This window comes from Homo sapiens, chromosome 16 (assembly GCF_000001405.40).
Source record: "Homo sapiens chromosome 16, GRCh38.p14 Primary Assembly".
In the NCBI taxonomy this organism is placed as follows: domain Eukaryota; kingdom Metazoa; phylum Chordata; class Mammalia; order Primates; family Hominidae; genus Homo; species Homo sapiens.
The window spans coordinates 24,628,817-24,645,887 of NC_000016.10; the positions used below are offsets into that span (position 1 = coordinate 24,628,817).

At 44.0% G+C, this 17,071-nt stretch overlaps 1 protein-coding gene across 14 annotated transcripts in view; it reads left to right on the forward strand.

Moving 5' to 3' along the window:
- Window positions 1–17,071, forward strand: part of TNRC6A (trinucleotide repeat containing adaptor 6A) — a 216,014-nt gene that overhangs the window by 18,612 nt on the left and 180,331 nt on the right. For all 14 annotated transcript variants that reach the window (XM_024450231.2, XM_017023145.3, NM_001351850.2 and 11 more), the window contains exon 2: window positions 12,068–12,193. In XM_024450231.2, coding sequence (XP_024305999.1) covers window positions 12,114–12,193 — 80 coding nt within the window. In that variant the 5' untranslated portion in view covers window positions 12,068–12,113. The remainder of the gene's footprint in view (window positions 1–12,067; window positions 12,194–17,071) is intronic.

Below are 17,071 nucleotides of genomic sequence, written 5' to 3' on the forward strand. Positions count from 1 at the left end.
GTTCAAAGGTCCACTGTATTTTTTTTTTCTGTCATTTTCATCGGATTTGGAGTTATCATGGGAGACAGACACCCAGGCTCAAAAAATAAAATGGTGAGACTGGCATATAATGGCATTTCACAGGGAACAGCTATAACTTTAGCACCTGAATTTGAGCTTTAGTGCATAGACAAGTATATTTACAGTTACTTGTATTTTAACTAACATGCAATTTATTAAAGTTGTAAATCTAAAAACCTAGTTTTCCCGAGGCCTTTAACGTAACTCATGAATCATATTATTATACTTATAAATCTAGTATATCTTATCTAAAGTTATGTATATTTTTTATTTGTTCTTGTATCATTGCTAAATTGTAAATGTGACATAATAAATTCCCCTAAATATTTAACATCACTTAAAAGCCTGCTTAATAAATTTTCCTTCAGCTTTGTCATTTTTAACCACAATTACAAATTTGAATCTCCTAAGTGCTTCAAACATCTGACAAGGCTGACTTATAAATCCAACAAACAGAATCGCTAAGTGCTTAAACACTATTTACAAACCTAGGAAGTCTGAAATTATTTATTAATCCAGAAATTTTTAAACATTCAGTTTCAGCCTAAATAAATCAAATTCTCTTAAATATTTTTAATTAAAGTTACAAATCTTATATCAATCAAACTGTTAACTCACCATTCCGCTTAGAGCAATAGTTGTGCTTGTTGGTTTTGCTTTAAATTTGTGTCCATAAATCTCCAGTTGACCGCCCAGTACTGCCCCCTAATATATTCACTTTTCTGTTTTCCCAGGTAACTATTATTTTGGGGGGAGGAGAAAGATAGTCATTTATTAGCCTTTTTTAAAAATTTATTTTAATTGTAGTAAAATACACATAGACCGGGCACAGTGGTTCACGCCTGTAATCTCACTGCTTTGGGAGGCCGAGGCAGGTGAATTGTTTGAGTCCAGGAGTTTGAGACCAGGCTGCAAAATCCTGACTCTATAAAAAAGTACAAAAAGTAAGCTAGGTGTGCTGGTGCGTGCCTGTTATTCCCAGCTACTCAGGAGGCAGAGCCAGGAGGATCACCTGAGCCCAGGGAGATCAAGGCTGCAGTGAGCTATGATCACACCACTGCACTCCAGCCTGGGTGACAGAGTGAGACCCTGTCTCAAAAAAAAAAATGCACATAACATAATATTTGCCATCTTAACCATTTTTAAGTGTCCTACATAACTTTTCATAACTTATTCCTCCCTAATTCTCACTTACTATTTAATTGTGAATATTAGAAGCAATTAGAAAAGAATGTTATATTTTTTCTTCCCACTACCAGATCTACCAACCTAATTATACCTGGGCCAATCTAATCTGCTTTCTCTCCTTTTATAGTAGAGGAATTCTCCATAGACCTCCTTAGGCCAATTCCTGCATTCAAGCCTTGGATGTGATCCTATCTCTCACCTGCTCAGGGACTCTGCTCCTAACACCACCCCCATTCACTTCTCATCATCAACATTTCCCTCTACTGGATCATTTCCATCAGCATCTGGAAGTGCTATCTTTAAAAACACAAAGCAAGGACCAGGCACAGTGGCTAACATGTGTAATCCCAGCACTTTGGGAGGCAGAGGCAGGAGGATCATTTGAAGCCAGGAGTTAGAGACCAGCCTGGGCAACGTAGTGAGAACTTGTTTCTACAAAAACAAACAACAACAACAAAAAACATAAAACAAAGCTTTCTCTGGCTCTCCTTCTCCCTCTAGCTACTACCTCTTTATAGGAAAAATATTTTCAAAGAGCTGTCTACCTTTGCTTCCCTCCCACCTCACGTCCTATTCTCCTATTCTCTCTTTAACCCACTCGAATACAGCCCTAAGGCCTCATGCTGTAGGGAGCCCCACACTGGTCATCCTACAGCTATGCTCTCCCCTTTAGGCAAGGGATTCACAGGGCCAAACAAACATGGCTAGTCAGAAGTTGTCCCTTCACGGACTCTACTCAGAGTACCTAAAACCCTGGGATTCCCTGTCTAAATGGCCCCAAGCCAGTTCCCAGTGCCTGGGAGAGGCTGCTGCCCAGATCCAAGGGATGTGGTATGTGCCTCTCTATACCTAAGAGATGGCTGTTTGCTGGGGTGGAGGTGGGAAGGAGTGTGTTGGTGGAGCTTAGACATTCAGCCTGGAGGGTCCATGCTTGTACATACAGATGAAGGGAAGAAAGAAAAAAAAAAAAGGGACCAGCCCTCCCTGCGCCAATTCATTCTGGAGAAGAACTCTTGGAATCAGAGAATTCTAAATTTGAAACTTGCCTTCCAAACACATATGGTGAATATGCATTTGTCAAGGTAGGAGGATAACATCTATTTTATTTAGCAGCTTGCTTGGCTGATAGCATTTAGTATTTAAACATATGGTGTGTAGATCTCCACTTGTACTTTTGGCCCATGCCCTACAACTGCTTGAGAAACCTGTATGGTGAAGGCCACAGATTCTCTTCAGTTTGCCTATCCAGTGGCCAAGTCTCAGATGTCATCTTTCTCAACCCCTCAGCAACATTCGACACAACATATTACTTTCTTCTCTCGAGTTCCAGGACACCCCACTCTTGGTTTGCCCCTATTCTTTCTCAGTCCTTTTGTTTGTTCCTAATTCTCTTCCCACTTATTGTAAATATTAGAACATCCTAGGGGCTGGGTGTGGTGACTCACACCTGTAATCCCAGCACTTTGGGAAGCTGAGGTGGGTGGATCACTTGAGGTTAAGAGTTCGAGACCAGCCTGGCCAACACGGCAAAACTGCATCTCCACTAAAAATGCAAAAATTAGCCTGGCGTGGTGGCGCACGCCTGTAGTCCTAGCTGCTTGGGAGGCTGAGGCATAAGAATCACTTGAACCCAGGAGGTGGAGGTTGCAGTGAGCCAAGATTGTGCCACTGCACTCCAGCTTGGGTGACAGAGCAAGATTCCACCTCAAAAAAAAAAAACAACAAAAAAAGAAAAACAGAACATCCTAGGGTTCAGTCTTCAGACTTGGACTCCACTTAAGTTCTTTTCTTGTTTGTTTGAGTTTTTTTTTTGGAACAGGGTCTCACTCTGTTGCCCAGGCTGTAGTGCAGTGACTAGATCATAGATCACTGCAGCCACAGCCTCCTGGGCTCAAGGGATCCTCCTATCTCAGCCTCCTGAGTAGCTGGAACCACAGGTGTGCACCACCACACCCAGCTACTTTTTTTAATAGACAGGGTCCTGCTATATTGCCCAGGCTGGTCTCGAACTCCTGGGCTTAAATGATTCTCCTGCCTCTGCCTCCCAAAGTGCTGGGATTACAGGTGTGAGCCACCACGCCCAGGCTCTTTCCTTGTTTGAAAGTCTCATATCTGTAAATATCATCTACAAGCTGACAACACACTTCTCGTCTCCCATAACCAGCTACCTGCTGATCATCCCCCTGTGGTTTATTGAACAGACATCTCAAAATTTACAGGTCCAAACCAGAATTCTTGATTTCCCCTCAAAACAAACCTGTCTCCCAACCTCCAATATCTTTCCCAACTGAAGAAATTCCACCACCGTCCACCTAGTTCTTTAATCCCAAACTCTAGAAGTCTTTGATTCCTTATTGTCGCCACACCCCACACACAATCCATAGTCAAGTTCCTCTGGCCCTGCCTTCCAAACATATTGCCTGGCTATTCATTTCTCTCTGTTTACACTTTCACCATCCTCTTCCAGGCCAATATCGTTTTCACCTGGACTGGGTAAGACTCCCAACTGGCCCCTCAGCTTTCATTCATTCATACCTTCCTCACTACAGACTTTTCATCTTACAGCCACCCCCAGAGTCTTCTAAAATCATAAATCTGATCCCACGATACCCCTACTCAAAATCTACCAATGAGTTGTCTTCACATTAAAAATAAAATCTGGGGCCAGACACAGTGGCTTTCGCTGGTAATCCCAGCACTTTGGGAGGCCGAGGCGGGCAGATCACCTGAGGTCAGGAGTTCAAGACCAGCTTGGCCAACATGGTGAAACCCTGTCTCTACTAAAAATACAAAAATTAGCTGGGTGCGGTGGTGCATGCATGTAATCCCAGCTACTTAGGAGGCTGAGGCAGGAGACTCACTTGAATCTGGGAGGCGGAGGTTGCAGTGAGTCGAGATTGCGCCATTGCACTCCAGCCTGGGTGACAAGAGCAAAACTCAGTCTCGAAAAAAAAAAAAAAAAATCCAGACTTCTCAACATAGTCTGCAAGGCCCTACATCACCAGGCACTTGCTTTATTCTAGAACTTCCTCTCACTTGCTCTGTTGCAGCCACAGTGGCTGCTTTGCAGGTACTTGAACCTACCAAGCTTGCTCTGGCCTCAGAGCCTTTATATGCTCTATTTACCATATATGCAGCTGCTTGACTTATTCATGGTTTACTCCTTTGTAGGTTTAAGATCTCAGCTCAGAGTATTATCTCTTCAGAGAGGCCTTCAATTTAAAGTACAGTGCTTTGATCTAAAGTGCAATCTATCACCTTAACCAGGCTTATTTCCTTACAGCATCACTTACTTTCAAAAATTATACTCATGGTGTATTTATTTTTTTTTCTTTTTCTTTTTTTCTTGAGACAGAGTCTCACTCTGTTGCCCAGGCTGGAGTGCAGTGGTGCAATCTCGGCTCACTGCAATCTCCACCTCCCGGGTTCAAGCGATGCTCCTGCCTCTGCCTCCCAAGTAGCTGGGATTACAGGCGTGTGCCACCACACCCAGCTAATTTTTGTATTGTTAGTAGAGTTGGGGTTTCACCATATTGGCCAGGCAGACCTCGAACTCCTGACCTCGTGACCCACCCACCTCGGCTTCCCAAAGTGCTGGGATTACAGGCGTGAGCCACTGTGCCCGGCTTTTATTTCTTTCCTTGTTTGTTTTCTGTGCCTCCACACACACACATTCCTCCCAATAGAATTTAAGCTCCATTAAGGTATAGAATTTATCTCTCTTTTTTTTTTTTTCGAGACGAAGTCTCGCTTTGATGCCCAGCCTGGAGTGCAGTGGCATGGTCTCAGCTCCCTGCAACCTCTGCCTCCCGGTTCCAGGGATTCTCATGTCAGCCTCCTGAGTAGCTGGGATTACAGTCATGCACCACCACACCTGGCTAATTTTTGTATCTTTATTAGAGACATGGTTTTGCCATGTTGACCAGGCTGGTCTCTTGAACTCCTGGCCTCAAGTGATCCTCCCGCTTCAGCCCCCCAAAGTGCTAGCATGACAGGCGTGAGCCACTGGGCCAGACCAAATTTATCTTTTTTATCACTGTATATGCCCAGTGCCTAAATAGTGTGATCATTTGATCAATAAATTTCAAAATTGGGCTGGGCGCAGTGGTTCAGGCCTGTAATCCCAGCACTTTGGGAGGTTTGCTTGAGCTCAGGAGTTGAAGGCCAGCCTAAACTACATGGCAAAACCCCATCTCTACAAAAAAATACAAAACAGATAGCCAGGCATGGTGGTGCATGCCCGTAGTCCCAGCTACTTGGGAGGCTGAGGCAGGTGGATCCTTTAAGCCCAGGAGGCAGAGGTTGCAGTGAGCCGAGATCATGCCACTACACTCCAGCCTGGGCGACAGAGAGAGACCCTGTCTCAGATAAATAAATAAATAAATGCACATTGAATATACCAGATTCTCTTAAGTGTTTCACACACCTTAAATATTGTAACATGCAAAATCTACACATTATCACTAGGACTATAAAAACGAATTGCTGAACCTAATACAAGAGTATTAATATACCACAGGTATGACTTATTCGGCCATCGTCTCTATATTTGTTTTTACACTTTTCTGTGTTTGTCACATCGCTTCCCTACTAAGAAAACAGAATTGTTATCCCAGGTCAGCTGAGGTTACAAGTCCAGGAACTTCATTCGGGGATTCCAGATTACAACAAGGGATCCAGAATGTGCTCTCCAGGGTGGGGCAGCATCAGCCCCCACCTTACCAATCTTAGCCCTTTCTCATGGTTCAGTGGCACCTGGCCTGTCCATGGAAGATATCAAGCCTGTGTCTTGCCCTAGAATTTAATGTAAATTTCACAATGTAAGAATCATTTACATTTCACATTTAGCAAGTTGGAAAAAAAATCTTATTCTCCATACACTTTTTTCTTTCTTCATTTGTTTTGTTGTTGTTGAGACAGGGTCTTGCTATGTTGCCCAGGCTGGTCTTGAACTCCTGCCTCAGCCTCCCAGAGCACTGGGATTACAGAAGTGAGTCACCTTTCTTTCTTTTTCTTTCTTTCTTTTCTTTCTTTCTTTCTTTCTTTATTTCTTTTCTTTCTTTTTCTTTCTTTTTCTTTTCTTTCCTTCTTTCCTTCCTTCCTTCCTTCCTTCTTTCCTTCCTTCCTTCTTTCTTTCTTTGTAATGCTGGAACTCTATACCCTTCATCTGGATTGTTTTACTTCTTATTCATAAGATTCTGCACGTTTATTTATTTATTTACTTATATATTTATTTGTTTATTTTTGGAGACCTGTCACCCAGGCTTGAGTGCAGTGGCTCGATCTTGGCTCACTGCAACCTCTGCCTCCCAGGTTCAAGCCATTCTTCCGCCTCAGCCTCCTGAGTAGCTGAGATTACAGGAGCCCACCACCACGCCCAGCTAATTTTTGTATTTTTAGTACAGACAGGGTTTCACCATGTTGGCCAGGCTGGTCTCAAACTCCTGACCTCAAGTAATTCGCCTGCCTTGGCCTCCCAAAGTGCTGGGATTGCAGGCACGAGCCACCACACCTGGCCAGATTCTGCACCTTTTTAAAAAATTTTACTTTCTCAATTGTCTCAGCACCCATCATAGACATCACATTTGTTGGTATTCAGGGAAAACAATTACCATTTGTGTATCTGTAAACTCCCAGAACTCTCTTATTATTTCTGAGAGTTTTTGCATAATTCTCTGAGGTTTTACACAAAGAAAGATGATTTTGTCACCTTGTTGCCAGTAGCTGTACCTTATATTTTGGTCTCCATGGTTTTTTGTTTTATTTTTGCCTGAGCTTCCAGAAACATCATCAAATGATAGCAGTAGCTCACATCCTGCATTTTATTTCTGACTTTAAAGAGACAATGCTGGTGTTTTATTGTTAAGGATGATGCCGTTGATCTGAGATTCTTTTATCATCCATTCCTTAATTCATTACATATTTATTGGTACCCATCCAAGTGCATTGGATTTGGCAATATGCAGGGCACTGATCGCCTTGGGGAAAGCAGTTCCAATGGCAGGGTGCCAGCAAAAGCCAGATTGCAGTGGTTTGCAGGGAGGCATGTGACGGAAACCGTCTTCTTTACTGCCTGCCAAGGATTTTCATCAGGAATGTGTGCTGGATTCTTTCTTAATGCCTTTTCAGCATTTATTAGTAACATTGTGGGTTGTTTTTTATACTTGACCTATTGGAATGATTTAACATATTAATATATTTTCATTCATTCATTCAAGAATTACCTAAGTGCCTATGATAAGCCAGACACTCTTCTATTATTGTAATGTTAGATTTGTGATTTTATAAAATATTGTAGGACTTTGTGATTTTTTTTTTTTTTTTGAGACAGGATCTTGCTCTGTTACTCAGGCTGGATTGCAGTGGGATGATCACAGCTCCCTGCAGCCTCAAACTCCTGGGCTCAAGAGATCCTCCCATCTTATGCTCTCGAGTATTTAGGACTACAGGCACATGCCACTGCGCCTGGTTTATTTTTTAACTTTTTTTTGACAGGGTCTCACTATGTTGTCCAGGGTGGTCTTGAATTCCTGGCCTCAAGTGATCTTCTCACCTCAGCTGAGATTACAGGTAGAGCCACTAAGCCTGGCTCTTTGTTTTATTTTTATATCAATTCATAAATATTGAACTGTTTTGACAGTAGTAAGATAAATTTGACTCAGTTATGGCATTTTGTTCCTTAATTTTTAATTACTAAATCAATGGATGCTTATTATTAAAAATTCAAGATGCAAAAGCATGTAAATCCAGAAAGTTCAGATATTCCCTATTAATAGATATTTCTGAACCTTTTTAACTTTTAATTGTCATAAGCTTGAAAAAGTTATTTGTAAGCATTTTATGTAGAATTTTCACATCTATATTCATGGCTGTGGTATAGATATTACAGTAAGAGAGCCATACCTGGGGCCCCATCAGATTGGCCTCTCCTGCTAAATGACACTTTGTTGCAGGGGTTTTTTTTGTTTGTTTTTCTTTTTGTTTTTGAGACAGGGTCTCACTCCCTGGCCCAGGCTAGAGTGTAGTGGTGGGATGATGGCTGACTGCAACCTCAACCTCCCAGGCTCAGGTGATCCTCCCGTCTCAGCCTCCCTAGTAGCTGGGACTTCAGGTGCATACCACCATACCTGGCTAGTTTTAAAATTTTTTGTAGAGATGGGGTTTCACCATGTTGCTCAGGCTGGTCTCGAACTCCTGGCCTCAAGCGATCTGCCCATCCCAGTCTCCCAAAGTGCTGGGATTACAAGCGTGAGCCATCGTGCCCAGCCTGTTGCAGTTCTTGACCCATCTGTGGTCTGGGCAGCCTGGCGTTCCCTCCACCCATGGGCATGCTGGATGCCATGCGGAGGTCACTGAGGTTTACTTGTTCAAAGAGTACGAGCATTGATCTGACTATGACTCCATAGTTCTAGGCAAGGGGAAAATAATACAATAAATAGATTAAATGTACAATATATTAGATGGTGATCAGACCTATGGAGGGAAAGTAAGGAAGGAGGAAGGGAAATGTTATTGGAAGTGAGGGAACCACAGTTACTGTGGGAAGGAAGGTCCCATGTGGGGAGGTGCAGAGCTTTCTTAAAAGAGGACTCAGGCAGCAGTGAGAATGAGGGCGCCACAACCACACAACACAATACCAAGGAATCTCACAAATATCACATCCAATGAAAGAAGCAAGGCACGTAGAGTACATTCCATATGATGCCATTTTTTAATTTATTTATTATTTATTTATTTTTGAGATGGAGTCTGGCTCTGTTGCCCAGGCTGGAGTGCAGTGGCCTGATCTTGGCTCACTGCACCCTCCACCTCCTGGTTCAAGCGATTCTCCTGTCTCAGCCTCTCAAGTATCTGGGACTACCAGCTCGCGCCACCACACCCAGCTAACTTTTGTATTTTTAGTAGAGACAGGGCTTTACCATGTTGGCCAGGCTGGTCTCAAACTCCTGACCTCAAGTGATCCACCCGCCTCAGTCTCCCAAAGTGCTGGCATTACAGGCGTGAGCCACCATGCCTGACTGTGATGCCATTTATACAAAGTACAAAAACAGGCAGCAAAAATCAGTATAGCGGCCAGGCGCAGTGGCTCGCCACTATAATCCCAGCATTTTGGGAGGCCGAGGCAGGAGGATCACTTAAGCCTAGGAGTCCAAGACCAGCCTGGGTGACATAGTGAGACCCCATCTCTACCAAAAATACAAAAATTAGCCCAGCGTGATGGCACATGCCTGTAGTCTCAGCCACTCATGAGGCTGAGGTGGGAGGATTGCTTGAACCTGGGAGGTTCTTTTGAAGTGAGCTGAGATCACACCACTGCACTCCAACCTGGGTGACAAAGCAAGACCCTGTCTCAAAAAACAGAAACAGGATGGGCACGGTGGCTCATGACTGTAATCCCAGGACTTTGGGAGGCCGAGGCAGGCGGATCGCTTGAGGCCAGGAGTTCAAGACCAGCCTGGCCAACATGGTGAAACCCTGTCTTTACTAAAAATACAAAAAGTAGCTGGGTGTGGTGGCATGTGCCGGTAGTCCCAGCTACTCGGGAGGCTGAGGCAGGAGAATCACTTGAACCCAGGAGGCGGAGGTTGCAGTGAGCTGAGACCGCACCATTGCACTCCAGCCTGGGCAACAGAGCAAGGTTGTCTCAAAAAAAAAAACAAAAAACAAAAAACAAAACCTCAGATGAATCCCTGTAATCTCTAAATGGTGTTGTATTTAGTCTCCCTTAAACTGACTGCCTTGGGAAAACTAAAGCAATAACTATTTCTACTGTCATTTTCCTGTTTTAAAAAATCATTTCTGTCTCCCCTCTGGTTATATAAGAATAATAAACTCAGCAGACATCAAAATACTGTTAGGACTTAGGAGGTCAAGTAAAACAAGGATAGAAATCTGTTGCCATTGGATTGGGCAACATGTAAGATCTTGATGATGTTGGTGCAAATACCTTCACTGGGGTGGAGGCAACTGATCCCAGAGTGCAGAGATTTTGGAGAAATAGGATATGAGGAACTGGAAACAGTCAATCCTCACAAATATTTCAAGTACTTTGACTCTTAAAGTTAAGAGAGGACGTACATAGGGTTGATAATTGTTTAAGTGTTTGTGTGAATGTTTGTCATAGAAGATGAGAAAGACGGCTGCGTGTGGTAGCTCATGCCTGTGATTCCAAAACTTTAGGAGGCCGAGGCAGGAGAATTATGTGAAGCCAGGAGTTCGAGGCCAGCCTGGATGACATATCAAAAAACTTGTCTCTATAAAAAATTTAAAAAAAGAAAATTAGCCAGGCATAGTGGCACACACCTGTAATCCCAGCCACTTAGGAAGCTGACGTAGGAGGATCTCTTGAACCCAGGAGTTGGAGGCTGCAGTGAGCTATGATCACACCACTGCACTCCAACCTGGGCAACAGAGCAAGACCCTCTCTCAAAAAACATGAGAAAGACTAAGATATGAGTATGTGCTAAAGGAGAAAATCAGTAGACAGAAATAGATTCATTCACTGATTTCTGCTTTCAATCTTTTCATCATTCACTTATTCACCAACTACTTACTAAATACCTGTTGTACCAGCCGCTTTTTTTGTTTTCTTTCTGAGACAGGGTCTCGCTCTATCGCCCAGGCTTGAGTACATGGTGTGATCATAGCTCACTGTAGCCTCCATCTCCTTGGACTCACTCAAGTGATCCTCCTGCCTTAGCCTCCTGAGTAGCTGGGACTTACAGACATGCACCACCACATTTGGTTAATTTTTGTTTGTTTGTCTGTTTTTTGTAGAAATGAGGCTTCACTATGTTGCCCAGACTGGTCTCAAACTCCTGAGCTCAAACAGTCCTCCCACTTCGGCTTCCCAAAGCTCTGGGATCACATGCATAAGCCATGGCACTTGGCCCAGTCACTGTTTTTTTGACAGTGATAATAGAGAAATGATAGGTGCAATCTCATGTAATTTATGGTCTAACTGAGAAGAGAGAAGTTGCAGACATAGATGAGAGCAAGAATGATAGTTGGGTGGGGGAGTCTTGAATAAAAGTACAAGATAATAGACCAGCCAGCCAGGCATAGTGGCTCACGCCTATAATCCCAGCACTTTGGGAGGCCAAGGCAGGTGGATCCCTAGAGCTCAGGACTTCAAGACCAGCCTGAGCAACATAGGGAGACTCTGCCTCTGCAAAAAATACAAAAATTAGCTGGGCATGGTGGTGTGCACTTCTAGTCCTAGCTACTCAGGAGGCTGAGACAGGAGGATCACTTGAGCCTGGGAGGCCAAGGCTGCAGTGGGCTGTGATTGCACAGCTGCACTCCAACCTGGGTGACAAAGTAAAATCCTGTCCAAAAAAAAAGAAAGAAAAAAAAAAAAGGAAGAAAAAGAAGGGCATGAGGCTGGTCACAGTGGCTCACACCTGTAATCCCAGCACTTTGGGAAGCTGAGGCGGGTGGATTGCTTGAGCTCAGGAGTTCGAGACCAGCCTGGGCAACATGGCAAAGCCCCATCTCTACCAAAAATACAAAAAATTATCTGGGCATGGTGGTGCACGCCTTTGGTCCCAGCTACTTGGGAGGCTGTGGCAGGAGGATCGCCTGAGCCCGGGAGGCGGAAGTTGCAGTGAACCAAGATCAAGCCACTGCACTCTGGCCTGGGCGACAAAAAAAAAAAAAAGAAAGAAAAAAAAGAAAGGGATGAAATTAAAGTTTGTGCCCAGGAGTTGCACATGGGTTTGTGTCTCATAGGCAAATAGGCATCACTGGTTGTGTCTGGGAGGGGAATGAAGTAAAAAGTGGAGAATCACTAATCTAATGCAACCTCTTCCTTTCTCAGGTGTGAAAACTGAGGCCCGGAGAGGTGATGTGATTTGCCTAAAGTCATGCAACTAGTGGCAGAGCCAGGCCTAGACGCCAGGTGTCCTGGCTCTCAAGACATTCCGCTGCCCGAGGAATGGAACAGGTAGTATCACTCACACTGGGGGCCATGGGTCAGTCCATTCAGCCCAGAGCTGCCTGAGGTTCCAACTAAGGAAACCAGAGGAAACATCCACTCAAAATTCTGACAAGTTGAACGGGGTTGAAATCAGAACTGGGCAAGAGAAAGGGGGCAAGGTTTGAAACTCAGACCTCACGATCCTGGGACAGAGGCCAATGTACCATCACCCCACGTCACCTTCTGAAGGTGGATTGAGCTCTGGCCCTATCATGTCCATCTCTAAACAGCTTGGTGGTGAGTCCTCTTCCAGCCATTCTGCGACCCATGCTCTTTCTGATATGATTCACAGTGTTAGGAAAATCAATGGCCACTTGCAGAGGATGTGTGGGAGGATGGAGAAGAAGGGACACGGGGAGACCAGTTAGGAGGCCTTTGGAGAGATCCAGGAGGAAAATGAAGAGGAAGAGCTGGTAGGAGGGGTCTGCTGGATCCGTATGGCATCACCTGGGTTAGTGGTTGGTAAAGTTGGTCAGCAGTGATGGTGGAAAAGCTAGAGTAGAAATGAAATCTGCATCAAAGTGGGAAGGAAAAGAGTTTCTGCTTTTATATATGTCTACTTGCTATTTCTACTGAAGGATGTTCTTAAGCCCAGTATTGATAAAACAAAATCTACCTTTGGTACTACAAGTAAGATATACCCTATGAATTATTTGTAAACATGAGTACTAGTCATTGGTAATGTGTATTAACCCCTCTGAATATTCTGGGTTATGGTTTCTTTTTCATTCATTCGATGATTTTTTATTGAGCATCTACCATGTACCATGCATTGGTCTGGGCATTTGGAATACATCAAGTGAATTAAACAAACAAATGCCATTGAACTCCTAAAACTCAATCAGTGGCAGGTGGCCAGAGAAGCTAGTCTTTGGGAAAAACAATGGGAGAAAAAGCTAAGGAGAAAATTCTCAATTGACACGGTATTAATCAAAGTAAAAGCTGGAAAGATGTATATTGATAGGTTGGGTTTGACTGGATCCCATGGGGAAGGATTTTTCCAGGCAGGGAGAGCTGAGATAGCAGACTGATCATTTCAGAGGATCTACCTGAATCAGTGGCTATGATCGTGTGTCTCCTGACAGGACCAGATTCCTGGGGGTAAACGGCAACAAAAGAGGCTCCATAGGGAGGGGCTCTCAGCAAAGGCGGTGTGAGGAGGCTCAGATCTGGAACAGTTAAGCAGGTCATCAGACTCCAAGAAACTGAGCAATGTTGTCCGAAGGTTATCCAAAGTGGTGGTGTGGGGAGAAAGCCATGGAAAATCTGAGAGCATCTGACGCCTGTCGAGTTGTCAGGCAGGGATTGAGTAGTGGTCAGTGGGCGGAAAGCAGGGCTGTGGTCACTAAGCTGAGGTTCAAGGGACATTTCCAGCCTCTGGGAGGAGTAGGTTATATCCCATGCAAGGCATCAAATAGGGACAAAGGCACAGGAGGGGAAAAGGAAAATGACCTCAGAAGTAGAGGATAAGGAATAGCTTAAGAACAGAATCAGGCCGAGCGCAGTGGCTCACACCTGTAATCCCAGCACTTTGGGAGGCCGAGGTGGGAGGATCACTTGAGCCCAGGAGTTCCAGACCAGCCTCGCCAACATGGCGAAACCCAGTCTCTACTAAAAATACAAAAAAATTAGCCAGGCATGGTGGCACGTGCCTGTAATTCCAGCTACCTGGGAGGCTGAGGCAGGAGAATCTCTTGAACCCGGAAGGTGGAGGTTGCGGTGAGCTGAGATAGTGCCACTGCACTACAGCCGGGCGACACAGTGAGACTCCATCTCACTGGCTTGAGGCCAGGTGTTCAAGACCAGCCTAGGCAATGTAGTGAGACCCTGTCTCTACAAAAAATTTTTAAACTTAGCTGGGCATGGTTGTGTGTGTCTGTAATCCCAGCTACTTGGGAGATTGAGGTGGAAGGATGGCTGGAGCCCAGGAGTTCAAGGCTGCAATGAGCTATGATTGCTCCACTGCACTCCAGCCTAGGCAACAGAGTGAGACCCTGTATCTTTAATATATATATAACATATATATTATATATATATTATATATATATATTTTATATATATATATAAAATATATATATATAAAATATATATATATAAAAAATCCATCCCATTCATGGGAACCCCATGGCCTGGGCTATAGAGGAAGTAGGATGCTGAGACAGGAAACAGGCAGGGCCCATCATTCCTGCCCCATGCAGAAGGAAGGAAGGAAGAAATCATGCCTATTGCTTCTTTCCTTTTGTCATCAGGAATCCCCAGGAGTGCCGTGACACTGAGGTTTCCAGAGGGTGCTTTTTCTTTAATTAACCCAGGTATTCATTCCAAAACTCAGAGAATGGTTTTCTTAGGGCGGCGGATTAGGGCAGGCATAGGGTCCTAACCTATGTCTTAATCTTTTGCTTTATGTGGTTTCTTTCAGCTGTGACCACCCCGATCCACCATTCATTCTTAATCCAGACACCTCTTTGTACAGCTCACTCTCCACTGCACGCTCTATTTTCTTCCATCTTCCTGGCTTCCAGCCGTACTGCTTATTCTTCTGTTCGGAGGCTAACCTAACCCATCAGACTTGAGGCTTGGCCCCGTCTTCCCTTGAGTCAACATCTTCCTCTAATAATACTTCTGTAGTGGACATTCTATCTGATTCTGTACTGTCCCTTCCACCACCCCTCCCCGCCGCCCCATTAGTAGCAACAATACAGTGGGGAAGAATTTACAAGTCTAGGCCACACACGGACACTGATCCTATGCCGAATTTGACTTCCAAATAATGTTTCTGTCTCTGCACCACTTACTCCAGAATCTAAGTCCTGGGAGGAAGGATCTAATTGCTCAGCTTCACAGCTAACTTCTTGAACTTGGCTCCTTCAGCTTCCATAGTGGATGATGAGATGAGAGGGGCGACAAGTGACTTAGACAGCCCTCTTGTCAGACCTAATCACAGTACATAATTCTCCCAGCAGGAACACTGGTGCAAATAAGAGGGCAGGCAATTCTAGATCATCGCTGGGTTTTGTTTGTTTTGTTTCTTATCTTTAATTTTTTTTTTTTTTTTTTTTTTTGAGACAGAGTCTCGCTCTGTCGCCCAGGCTGGAGTGCAGTGGCGCGATCTTGGCTCACTGCAAGCTCTGCCTTCCGGATTCACGCCATTCTCCTCCCTCAACCTCCCCAGTAGCTGGGACTACAGGCGCCCGCCACCACGCCCAGCTAATTTTTTTTTGTATTTTTAGTAGAGACAGGGTTTCACCGTGTTAGCTTGTTTTGTTTTTTGAGACAGGGTCTCACTCTGTCCACCAGGCTGGAGTGCAGTGGTGCAATCACAGCTCACTGCATCCTTAACCTCCTGGGCTCAAGTAATCCTCCCGCCCCGGCCAAGAAGAAGCTGGGACTACAGGTGCATACTGCCACACCCAGCTAATTTTTAAATATTTTGTAGAGATAGGGTTTCACTACGTTGCCCAGGCTGGTCTTAAACTCCTAGGCTCAAGCGATCCTCCCGCATCAGCCTCCAAAGTAGCTAGGACTACAGGTTCATGACACTACACCAGGCTAATTTGGTTTTTTTTTGTGGGTTTTTTTTGTTTGTTTTTTGTAGAGTCAAGGTCTCACTATGCTGCCCAGGCTGGTCTCAAACTCCTAGTCTCAAGCAATCTGCCTGCCTTGGCCTCCCAAACTGCTGGGATTACAGGCATGAGCCACCACACCCAGCCCATCACTATTGAATAGAATAATAACACAAACCACACACGTAATTGTAAATATTCTAGTTGCCACACTTTTAAAAGGTAAAAAGAAACAGATGAAATTAATTTTAACATTACAATTTATTGAACCTAACATTTCTAAAATATCTTCATGTCAACCTGAAATCAATATAAAAATTTGTAATGAGATATATTCCTTACTTCCTGTTGTTATTCTAAATCTTTGACATCCAGGGTGTATTTTACACTTACAGTACAGCTGTCATTGAAAACATTTGATCTGTATTTATAGTTACAGTTGAAAAAGTAGAACAGCATATGCAGGTTGTTCCAAAGATACTTAAATATTTTCCAAGTATCAAAAAATCACTTTCCTGTATTATTCACTTCCACATTGGTGAAGCTAGTTCATCTTTATTGGAATAGTGGTTTGACTTTGAAGCAAAAGCATATCAGTTTTAAAACTACTTCTGTCCAGGCTGGGCACAGTGGCTCATGCCTATAATCCCAGCACTTTAGGAGGCTGAGGCGGATGGATCATTTGAGGTCAGGAGTTCAAGACCAGCCTGGCCAACATGGTGAAACCCCATCTCTATTAAAAATACAAAAATTAGTCCGGTGGTAGTGGTGCATGCCTGTAATCCCAGCTACTCAGGAAGCTTGAGCCTGGGAGGCAGAGGTTGCAGTGAGCCAAGATCACGCCACTGCACTCCAGCCTGGGCAACAGAGTGAGACCCTGTCTCAAAAAAAAAACAAAAAACAAAAAACAAAAACCTACTTCTGTCCGAGTTATAGCAATTCACCAATCCTCATGTCAACTCAGTATTAACATGGAATGTAAAAGGATGCTGTATAAATTGAAAAGTAACTCTAAAGTTTGTCAATATCAACAATATTCTTCAAATTTTTCTTGTAAGTTTTGCAGATAATTTACATAATACTGGTGATTACCATTAAAAATATTTTGCAGCCAGGCGCGGTGGCTCATGCCTGTAATCCCAGCACTTTGGGAGGCCGAGGTGGGGAAGATCACTTGAGCTCAGGAGTTCGAGACCAACCTGGGAAACATGACAAGACCCTGTATCTACAAAAAAAAAAAAAAAAAAAAAAAAAAAAAAAAATTAGCAGGCCATGATGGTGC